Raw genomic sequence first — 12,009 nt, forward strand, 5'->3', positions numbered from 1 at the left:
GCAGTGGCATCATCTTGGCTTACTGCAACCTCCACCTCCTGGGTTCAAGCCATTCTCCTGCCTCAGCCTCCTGAGTAGCTGGGATTACAGGTGTGCGCCACCACGCCCGGCTAATTTTTGTATTTTTAGTAGAGACAGAGTTTCACCATGTTGGCCAGGCTGGTTGCCAACTCCTGACCTCAGGTGATCCGCCTGCTTCAGCCTCTCAAATTGCTGAGATTACAGGCAGGAGCCACTGCTCCTGGCCAGCAGCACTATTCTTACCAGGCAAAAGTGAAAACAACTCAAATGCTGATCAACTGATAAATGGATTAACAAAATGTGGTATCTCCATACATACTGATAGATACTACAACATGTATAAAACTTGAAAGTATTATGCTAAGTAAAAGAAGCCAGACACAAAAGACTATATATTGTATGGTTTCACTTACATAATATACAGTATCTAGACAAGGCCCATGTATTATTAGTGGTTACTTGGGGTTTGAGGTGGAAATAGGCATAACTGTAAATGGACACAAGGGATCCTGTGGACTGATGGAAACATTCTAAAACTGGATTGTGGAGACGTTTGCACAACTTTGTAAATCATTGAATTATACGCTTAAAATGACTGAATTTTATGTTATATAAATTAAACTTCAAGCTGCTTAAAAATATAATGCTGAGTGAAAAAAGCAAGTTGCTTCATCTACGCCAAGCAGAACATCATTTACGTAAAATTTAAAACTTAAAACAATGGTATATATGGTGGGCAAACATTATAAGAAAATATAAAATTATATATGGTAACAGTTTGCACTAACTTCAGGATACTGCTTACCTTTAGAGATGTAGAAAGGGTGACAGAATGGGAGAAATTTTTGCTATATCCACAATATTTATTTCATAGGGAAAAAAATCCCTAGCAAACTCAATCAAATATTAACATCTCAGTGCTAGATATCTGTTCTAGTAGTTTCTGTATACATGAAAAGAAAATCTTACCTTTGCTTGACTCTTTGTCTTTGTGAACTTCTACCATATTGGCTGGTGTACACTGAAGCATTTCAGGAGACAGAACCTCAGAGTGCAATGTTAACTCAGCAGAGAACTCCTGGGATCCATCGCTGTAGTCCACAGATCCTGATAATGTTCTGCTTAATTAAAACATATCCTTTATAACAGACTACATAACAAAGGAATAAAATTAGTTCTGAGATCTATAATAAATAACCACTTACACAGAGAAATCATTCTGTTTGAGAATTTCCTGAAGTCTCTTCTGAAATTTTTTTTCACTTTCTGTTGCTGGCACAAACCTGTGATCTTTGAATTTTAAAAGTGCATTAAAAAATGTAAATAGCAAATGAATGAAATATTTTCCCTTCTCCTAAAGTAGCTTTAAAAATGGTGGCAATTTCCTATCTTTCTCTAGATATACATAATACAACCTAACTGTAGTTTTACCATAGAATCACACAAAAGAGAAACGGTTGTTACTAAAGTTATAAAATTAGGCACTTAAGTCAGTTCAAGATTAAGTTCTATAATTATAATCTAAATCTAAAACAGAAAAATTGTTCTCTACCTATAAATATATTGTATCCTAAAGCTAAAAATTTCCCCTCATAAAATATATTTCTATTTTTAAAAGTATAAAAGGCACTCAAAGTTTATCAAAACATTTTTAGTGCCTAAGATATAATAATTTTAATTGAACTTCAATATAGGCTTACTGCTGTATTTTGAAATAATATATCTGCCTTTTGAATGATGTCGTTCACTCTTTTACCTTTATTTTTAAAACTGTTGTATCCATGGTATTATCTAAACCCCCTCGAATTCTTTTTGAATGTGGCACCATTTAGCAATAAATGTTTCTTTAGAGCTGTACATATTGAACAAAGTGAGAGCTTATATGACATACTCAGAAAATAAACTGTGGGCAGCATTTCAATGGCTACATTTTCAAAGCTTAATGTATTAAACAGTGTTTCTAAGTTGAGATTCATGATCTTCTGTGAGTTTTCTATAGCTCATTTGGAAATACAGAGGGCTAGAACATACTAGAGAATGAAAACAAAAAAGTGAGGCAAGAGGACAAGGTACATTAAAAACAAAGAACAGTAAAAACGTCAACTTCTTACAAAGAGATAATAAGCGACAATTGGAGACAGCTGTAAAGATAAATAGTGGCTGTACAGCAATGACAACAAGAAAAATACATACAAAATATAAAGGTCATTTGAAAAGTAAAATCTAATGTCAAAGGAACAACTCAATGACAAACTTTTCCATTAAAATACTTGATTTAAAAGAATAATCAGAGCACTATTAGGTTTATACCTTGTGACTCAGGTTGGCTCATTTGAGAAGTTTCATTTCTGTTTCTTCGCCGTTGCTTTTCATCTTCCCATATGGCCTGTAGACCAGGGTTTCCACCAATTTGAGCTGTAATCACAATAATACTTCAATACTACAGGGTCAAAGTAAGAAATGCCTAAAAAATCTAAACTTTTCTTTAACAAATACTGCCTTTAAAAAAACCAATCACATATTTTGTGTAATAAAGTGGACAAATTATCCCAACCTACACTTACTATGTTACTCCTTTTTTAGTTTTCTTCCTAGTGGTTCCCCAAAATCCAGCAAGTGAATACAATTCAAACATCTGATGATAGTCAATAGACCTAAGAGTCCCTTTGCTGATATATAATATGAAAATTAAGAAATTAAAAGGCACAGTACATTAAATTGCTTTATATTAGCTAATTTTATTTAGTGTCACACTTATTTTAGTATCATCTATTCAAATATAGTCATTTGGACAAAAATATAAACAAAAAATTAATACCTCATCAGAAGTATAGAAGCAATCTTCATAACATTTTGTATCCTCCTTCTATAATATCTTAGTTTCCTCGTAAAGTTTTCTTTCCTACTTTTTCTATTCCATTTTGGTCATTAATTTTTTTTTTTTTTTTTTTTTTTTTTTTGAGATAGAGTCTTGCTCTATCACCAGGCTGGAGTGCAGTGGTGCGATCTTGGCCCACTGCAACCTCCGCCACCCAGGCTCAAGTGATTCCCCTGCCTCAGCCTCCCAAGTAGCTGGGACTACAGACGTGTGCCACCACACTCAGCTAATTTATTTTGTATTTTAGTAGAGACGGGGTTTCACCATGTTGGCCAGGATGGTCTCGATCTGACCTCATGATCCACCCACCTTGGCCTCCCAAAGTGCTGGGATTACAGGCGTGAGCCACCACACCCGCCGGTCATTAATTTTAAAAAATAAAAACATATATTAAGAATAATTGTGTATGAACCTTCAATGTCCAGACGATTTAAGATATCAGCAGCTACAGCATCCACTTCTAATTCACATGTACTCTGTGGTTCAACACCTTCCAATATTAAAGAGCTGCAATTAAAGGATATAAAAAACATAATAATTATGTGAGAGCAAACTTTCTAACATTTTTCTTACTTATACAATTATCTTACATTTAGCTTGTACCCAGAAAACCTGATATATTAATTCACAATTATTCTGACAAAATTGATACTTTATATGTATATATAATGAAAAATAGGATGAGAAAAATACAAAACATATTATACTGACTACCCTAGATCCTTTTGAAGTAAATTCTACGTATTTTGGTTCATTATATTTTATATAAAAGGAATATAAAACGTTTTAGCATATGGTTATACCCGGGGCAGAATGGGATAGGATAATATAAAAACCTCAGAGGAATGCATAAAAAACCATACACATATGAAATCAGTTGCCTAGAGACATCTTTTTCAGTATTCAAAAAACAAGGGAGAACATGCAATAAAAGGGAAGGTGAGCACACTGAGAAATGGGCAAACGATATTCACCATTCTTCCTGCCCTCAACTACTGCTGAGATAGGGAATACTTTAAAATTCTTCATAACTACAGAACTGATAAAATGTATGAATGATCAACAGTGGGATCATAGCTAGGAAAAGTAATGATATCACCAGGTCATTAATTTTTATGAGAACTACAAAGGATTGTTTCCCAGTCTGGATCTTTGACTCAAAAGCATTTGCTTTTCATCAGTGCCCCAAAAGAGAAGATAAAGAAGACACCACATAATTGACCCTACTTAACAGAATGAAGAGATAACATCTAGTGTGGATCCTAGTTTACTCATTCCAAAATTTAGGCCTTGTACAAAAATGGACACCAAGTGGAAAAGGGGAGATCCTTAATTTTACTACAAAGTGGTTGATGACATATTTCATTAACTTTTGATTTGAAACACTTTGGTATTTTTTTTTTTTTTTTTCAGATGGAGTCTCGCTCCATCGCCCAGGCTGGAGTGCACTGGTGCGAACTCAGCTCACCTCAACCTCCACCTCCCAGGTTCAAGCGATTCTCCTGCCTCAGCTTCCCAAGTAACTGGGATTACAAGCATGTGACATCATGCAGAGTTAATTTTTGTATTTTTAGTACAGAAGGGGTTTCACCATGTTGGCCAGGCTGGTCTTGAACTCCTGACCTCAAGTGATCTGCCTACCTCGGCCTCCCAAAGTGCTGGAATTACAGGTGTGAGCCATTGCGCCCTGGCCTTGAAACACTTTTTAATGTTTTAAGAAAAACATGTTAGCAAAAACTCATTTTCCATTGTCTATTTTAAAGGAAATTTTGATGGAATATTACATGTTAGTTGTTAAACCACAGAATTTTCACAACTCAAATAATATACGTATATATGTACTCACAAGTATATATTTAGATGTTCAAACACACGTATCTTTTCACCATTGATAGAGAAGGAATATAATTAGCCAACCTATCATAATATATTCCTTTCTCTTTCAGAAAAAATATTTCTCAATATAGATTGTCAGCTGCGCTTGGTGGCTCATGAATGTGATCCCAGCTTCGGCTTGGGAGGCCAGCCTGAGCAATATAGTGAGACCTCATCTCTACAAAAAATTTTTTTAAATTAGCCAGGCATGGTGCTGCACACCTGTAGTCCCAGATACTTGGGAGGCTGAGCATTATAGTAAGACCTCACCTCTACAAAAATTTTTAAAAACTAGCCAGGCATGGTGTTGCACACCTATAGTCCTAGATTCTTGGGAGGCTAAGGTGGGAGGATCACTTGAGCCCAGAAGGCGGCGGTCGTAGTAAGCTGAGATTGTGCCACTGACCTCCGGTCTGGGCAACAGCGTGAGACCTTGTCTCAACAACAACAAAATGTGAATTGTCCTCTTCATTCATACAATTTAACACACATTGAAGTATCAAATTTAAAAATGTTTATGATCCACAGTTTTCTCATATAAAAAAGTTTTATAATTTGAAATAATTATGTTGTAAATGTCAAGGATGAATATTCCCGAAGTAGCACATTTGAGAGAAAGGAGGGAAACAATAACCTCAAAAAATATAATCTCACAGTAGAAATTTACAACTTGCCCTTATACAAAACTACTTCAGACATTCAGAACAGGAGGTGTTCCTATGGAGGGGAAGTAGTTTTCAGAATTAAAAATTAGCACCAGTAGACAGAAAATGTATGAGTAAAAAATTTGCATAAGCAAATACATAGCTGCTTTGAAATAGAGAAATCCAAGCATTTGGAATATACTGCCTCCAAAAAAAATCTAATCAATAATGAAACAAATAAATTACAAATTATATTATTCAAAACCAGAGCATGTCAAAATACTTTATTACTTATTTAATATTTATAAATTTTAGGGGTTATTAAAAATATTTAGATTTTTGTTTTAAATTACTATTTTATCATAAATGTAATTGTTTTACTTGACAAGTTATAGGATATCAAATTAGAATAGATGATGAAGATGAATGTTGCAGAAAAGTATAACAATATCTACCTTGTATTCCTTTTGTTAATTAGGTAATAACTAGTACATTTTCATGGTTTGTTTTTAAAATCGTTTATTCCTTGTAATACACTAATGTCAAGGTTTGTTTCTGTTAAGTGTATAGATTAAAAAGATCCAATACAATAAAAGGTTAAAATTTAATTATGGTAACCACTGATTTCTGATCACAACTAGGATATATGTAAAATTTTCATTTCCTTTACAACATTAACTAACCTTGGTATTTCATCTTGTTCCCACCGAAATAAAGTATCAGCAAGAGAATTTCCTGATAAATGATTCTTGCAGGATCCAGTTGCATGCAATGTATTACCTAGGAATAGAAAGGTAAAAGGAATAAATTCTACTTTCAATTTTCATATAATTACTTTTTAGAAGGTAAATTTTTTTTTTTTTGAGATGGAGTCTCGCTTTGTTGCCCAGGCTGGAGTACAGTGGCGCAATCTCGGCTCACTGCAAGCTCCACCTCCCAGGTTCACGCCATTCTCCTGCCACAGTCTCCCGAGTAGCCTCCAAGCGCAGCAAATTTTTTTTGTATTTTTAGTAGAGACTGGGTTTCACCGTGTTAGCCAGGATGGTCTCGATCTGACCTTGTGATCCGCCTGCCTCGGCCTCCCAAAGTGCTGGGATTACAGGTGTGAGCCACCATGCCCGGCTGGTAAATGTTCTTTAAAAAATTTTATTACTCATAAATTACAGATCCCTTTTTATTGATACATAATATTTGTACATACTCATAGAGCCACATGTGGTATTTTCATACATGCATACAATCTGTAATGACAAAATCAAGGTACTTAGGATGCCATCAGCCCAAACATTATTCACCATTTGTGTCGAGAACATTTCAAATCTTCTCTTCTAGTTATTTTGAAATATATAATGTATTGTTGTTAACTACAGTCACTCCTGTATGCTATCAAACACTAGAACTTATTTCGTCTAATTGTATGTCTATATCCATTAACCAGCCTGTCTTCGTATCTTCCTGGAACCCTTCCCATACACCCTTCCCAGCCTCTAGTAACTACCTTTCTTCTTTTTATTTATTTTTTTGACATGACATCTTGCTATGTTGCCCAGACTGGAATCAATCTCCTGGACTCAAGCAATCCTCCTGCCTCAGCCTCCCATGTAGCTGAGACTACAGGGGTGCATCACGACTCCTGGCTAAAGACGAACTTTTTTTAGTTCCCACATCAGTAAGAACATGTGATATTTGTCTTTCTAGGCCTGGCTTATTTCATTTAACATAATGATCTCAATTCTATCCATGTGGCTGCAAATGACAGAATTTCATTTTCATAAAAAATATGGTAGAATATAATTCCATTGTGTATATATACCACATTTTCTTTATCCATTCATCCACTGATGTGCACTTAAGGTTGATTCCGCATCTTGGCTATTATAAACAGTGCTGCAATAAACATGGGGGTGTAGGTTATCTATCTTTGATATATTGAATTGATTTCCTTTCCTTTGGATAAATACCCAGCAGTGGGATTGCTGTATCATATGGTAGTTCTAGTTTTTGGTTTTTGAGAAACCTCCATACTGTTTTGCATAATGGCTGTACTAATTTACATTCCCACCAACAGTGTATAAGAGTTTCCTTTTCCTTGCATCCTCACCAGCATTTGTTGGTGTCTTTTCCGTAACAGCCATTCTAACTGGGGTAAGATGATTGCTTACTGTGGTTTTGATTTGCATCTCCCTGATGATTAGTGATGTTGAACATTTAAAAAATATACCTGCCGGCCATTTGTATGTCTTCTTTTTTGAGAGGTGTCTATTCAGATACGAAACTATTTTTTTTCCTGTTGAGTTCCTTACATATTCTGGAGATTAGTCTCATTTCATGAATAGTTTGCAAATATTTTCTCTCATTCTGTAGGCTGTCTCTTTACTCTGTTGATTGTTTCCTTTGCTGTGCAGAAGCTTTTACACAGTCCCTTTTGTCTATATGCTTTGGTTGCCTGTGCTTTTGAAGTCTTAGCCATAAAATTTTTTCCCAGACCAATGTCCCAGAGTATCTGTCCTACAATTTTTTTTTTTTTTTTTGAGACAGGGTCTCACTGTCATCCAGGCTGGAGTGCAGTGTATGATTATGGCTCACTGCAGCCTTGAGCTTCCAGGCTCAAATGATCCTCCCATCTCAGCCTCCCAAGCTGCTGGGGCAACAGGCATGCACCATCGTGACTGGCTAATTTGTAGAGATGGGCTTTGACTATCTTGCACAGGCTGGACTCAAATTTCTTGGCTCAAGTGATCCTCCCACCTCAGCCTCCCAAACTGTTGAGATTAGAAGAGTAAGCCACCATGCTCAGCCTATGTGTCTGTTTTTATACCAACACCATGCTGATTTGGTTACTAAAGCTTTGTAGTATTATTTTGCTCAGCCTGTGTGTCCATTTTTATACCAACATCATGCTGATTTGGTTACTAAAGCTTTGTAGTATCGTTTTGACCTCAGGTAATATGATGTCTCCAACTGTTCTTTTTGCTCAGGATTGCTTTGGCTATTTAGGCTCTTTTGTAGTTCCACATGAAGTTTAGAATTTTTTTTTCTATTTCCATGAAGAATGTCATTGGTATTTTGATATGAACTGCAATGAATCTTTAGATTTTATTGGAAAATATGGCCATTTTAACAATATTAATGTTTCTGATCCATGAACATGGGATGTCTCCCATTTGTCTATTTCCACTGTCTACTTCAGTTAATTTTATCAGTAATTTCTAGTTTTCCTCCTATACAACCTTTACTTCCTTGGTTAAATTTATTACTATTCTTTTTGGTAGCCTTAATAAATGGGATTGTGTTCTTGTTTTCTTTTTCAGCTAGTTGTTATTGGTGCACAGAAATGCTATTAGTTTTTTGTGGGTTTTAAAAAAAAATCTGCAACTTTACTAAATTTATCAGTTCTAAGAGTTTTTTGTTGGAGTCTTCAGGTTTTGCCATATATATCATGTCACCTGTGAAAAAGGGACAATTTGACCTCCTTTTTCCCAATTTGGTGTCTTTTATTACCTGATTGCTATGGCTAGAATTTTCAGTACTATGTTGAACAGGAGTGGTAAAAATGGGCATCCTGTCTTCTTCTAGTTCTTAGAGGGCAGGTTTTCAGCTTTTCCCCATTCAGTAAGATGTTAAATGTGGGTTTTTCAGACATGATGTTCATTATTTGAGGTATGATCCTTCTATGATTAACTTATCAAGAGTTTTTACCATGAAGGGACATTGAATTTTATCAAATAACTTTTCTGTGTTAGCTGAGATGATCATATGGTTTTTGTCCTTCATTCTGTTGATGTGATGTATCACATTTATTGATTTGTATATAATGAACAATCCTTGCACCCCTGAAATAAGTTTTTTTTTGAGACAGGGTCTCACTCTGTCACCCAGGCTTGAGTACAGTGGCATGATCTTGGCTTACTGTAACCTCCGCCTCCTGGGCTCAAGCCATCCTCCTACCTAAGTCTCCCAAGTAGGTGGGACTACAGGTGCATGCCACCATACCCAGCTAATTTTTTTATTTTTTGTAGAGACAGGGTTTCACCATGTTGCCCAGGATGGTCTCAAACTCCTGGGCTCAAGTGATCTACCCACTTCAGCCTTCCAAAGTTCTGGGATTACAGGCATGAGCCACTGTGCCTGGCCCTAGGATAAATTTCACTTGATCATGGTGTATTTTTTTTTTTTTATGTTTTGTTGGATTCGATTTGTTAGTATTTTGTTGAGGATTTTTGTGTCTATGTTCATCAGTGATGCTGACCTGTAGTTTTCTTTTTTTGTTGTGTCCTGTCTGATTTTGGTATCAGGATAATGCTGGCTTCATAGAATGAGTTAGGAAGAATTTCCCCCTCTTCAAATTTCTAGACTAGTTTGAGAAGAATTGGTGTTAGTTTTTCTTTCTAAGTATGGCAGGATTCAGCAGTAAAGCCATCCAGACCTGGGCTTTTCTTTATTGGGAGACCTTTAAATTACAGATTCAATCTTGTTACTTGTGATTCGTCTGCTCAGGTTTTCTTTTCTAAAAATTTAAAATAGAGACAAGGTCTCACTGTTGCCCAGGCTGGTCTTGACCTCCTGAGCTCAAGCCTTCCTCCCATCTTGACCTTCCAAAATGCTAGGATTGCAGGTGTGAGCCACTGTGCCTGGCCAGGTTTCCTATTTCTTCCTGGTTCAATCTTGGTATGCTGTAATGCGTCCAAAAATGTACACATTCCCTCTAGGTTTCCCAACTTGTTCACATATAGTTGTTCATGATAGTCTCTGATGATCCTCTCTATTTGTTATATAAATTGTAATGTCTCCTTTTTCATGTCTAATTTTATGTATGTCTTCTTTTTTCTTGGTTAGTCTAGCTAGCGATTTATTGATCTTTTCAAAGCACCAGTTTTTCATTTCTCTGATCTTTTGTATTTTTTTTTTTAGTCTCTATTTTGTTTAGTTCTACTCTGATCTTTATTATTTCTTTTCTTCTTCTAATTTTGGCTTTGTTCTTGCTTTTCTAGTTTCTTAAAGTACATCATTACATTGTTTATTTGAAATCTTTTTTTTGATATAGGCACCTATTGCTATAAACTTACCTCTTAGTACTGTTTTTGCTGTATCTCATAGGTTTTGGTATGTTGTGTTTCCATTTTCATTGGTTTCAAGAAATTTTTAAATTTCCTTCTTAATTTCTTCATTGATCCAATAAAGGTTCAGGAGCATTTTGTTTAATTTCCATGTATTGGTACAGTTTCCAAAGTTTCTCTTTTTATTGATTTCTAGTTTTATTCCATAGTGGTCAGAAAAGACACTTAATATGATTTCAATTTTCTAAAATTTGTTAAGACTTGTTTTGTGGCCTAACGTATGATCTTTCCTGGAGAATGTTCCACATGCAGATGAGGAGAATGTGTATTCTGCAACTACTGGATAAAATGTTCTGTAAATGTCTGTTAGGTCCATTTGGTCTAAAGTGCAGTTTATTTATTTATTGAGACAGTGTCTTGTTCTGTCACCAGGCTGCAGTGCAGTGGTGTGACCACAGTTCACTGCAGCCTCAATTTCCCAGGCATAAGCAATCCTCCTACCTCAGCCTCCTGAGTAGCTGAGACCACAGGTGTATGCCACCACACCTGGCTGATTTTTATCTTTTTTGTAAAGATGAGATCTCACTATGTTACCTGAGCTAGTCTCAAATTCCTGGGCTCAAGCAATCCTCCTGCCTCAGCTTCTCAAAGTGTCAGGCTTACGGTGCCCGGCTCTAAAGTAAAGTTTAAATCCAATGTTTCTTTTTTGATTTTCTGTCTAGATTATCTGCCTAATGCTGAGAGTGGGGTGTTGAAGTCCCCAGCTATCACTGTATTGTATTGGCTAGTTGGGGACTTCAACACCCCACTCTCAGCATTGGACAGATGCTAAGAATCAAATCTAATAACATTTGCTTTCAATCTAATAATATTTGCTTTATATATGTGGGTGCTCTGGTGTTGGGTGCATACATATTGAGAACTGTTACATCTTTTCAGCACTCTACATGTTCAGAGAAACTTCTCTAGTAGCAAACTATAGGAATGTTCCCTTTAAGTAAAATAATATATAACTTATGTGACTAGTTACTAAAATTGTATCCTAAAAATTCATATACAGCAAGAAATACATACTCAGTTGAAAAATGAGGATGTTAAAAAAATATAAAATGCTTCTGTGGTGCTCAAAACATTTGCTCCATTTATTCCTCTTTTACCCATGTGGGGGGAAAAAAAGAAAAAAGAAAAAAAAAATTGTCCCATTTACATACTTTATACACTTCATTTTAACAACTACAGTAATTAGCATCATTTCCATTTCATTTGACCACTGATTATACAACTGAGTGCTGAGGCAAAACTGTATATGCACATATAATATTCAAATTTCTAAATCATTTTCATTTTTGAATGTATTTTACTTTCAAAAGTAAAACTCCATGTATTATATTAATTTATCAGGTAAAATGAAGTTATGCATACATGTAATACATATATTTACTTACAAGAAGTTTACTGTCAAGTTAAACTGTAATGTGCCTGAGATAACATGATAAAATAAAATAAAAAAAATTATTCACTGATTTTGTACATG

General features: G+C 35.4%; 1 protein-coding gene across 16 annotated transcripts in view; it reads right to left on the minus strand.

The window, feature by feature from the left end:
* REV3L (REV3 like, DNA directed polymerase zeta catalytic subunit) overlaps window positions 1–12,009 on the minus strand; it is a 184,679-nt gene that overhangs the window by 87,742 nt on the left and 84,928 nt on the right. For 11 of the 16 annotated variants that reach the window (XM_011536030.4, XM_011536028.3, XM_011536032.3 and 8 more), the window contains 5 exons: window positions 6,102–6,198; window positions 3,312–3,406; window positions 2,332–2,436; window positions 1,227–1,311; window positions 991–1,142 (listed from right to left, as the gene is read on the minus strand). In XM_011536030.4, the coding sequence (XP_011534332.1) occupies window positions 991–1,142; window positions 1,227–1,311; window positions 2,332–2,436; window positions 3,312–3,406; window positions 6,102–6,198 (534 nt within the window). The remainder of the gene's footprint in view (window positions 1–990; window positions 1,143–1,226; window positions 1,312–2,331; window positions 2,437–3,311; window positions 3,407–6,101; window positions 6,199–12,009) is intronic. The other 5 variants (NM_002912.5, NM_001286432.2, NM_001286431.2 and 2 more) reach the window with 1 other exon arrangement.

The sequence above is a fragment of the Homo sapiens genome, chromosome 6 (genome assembly GCF_000001405.40).
Source record: "Homo sapiens chromosome 6, GRCh38.p14 Primary Assembly".
Taxonomy (NCBI): Eukaryota; Metazoa; Chordata; class Mammalia; order Primates; family Hominidae; genus Homo; species Homo sapiens.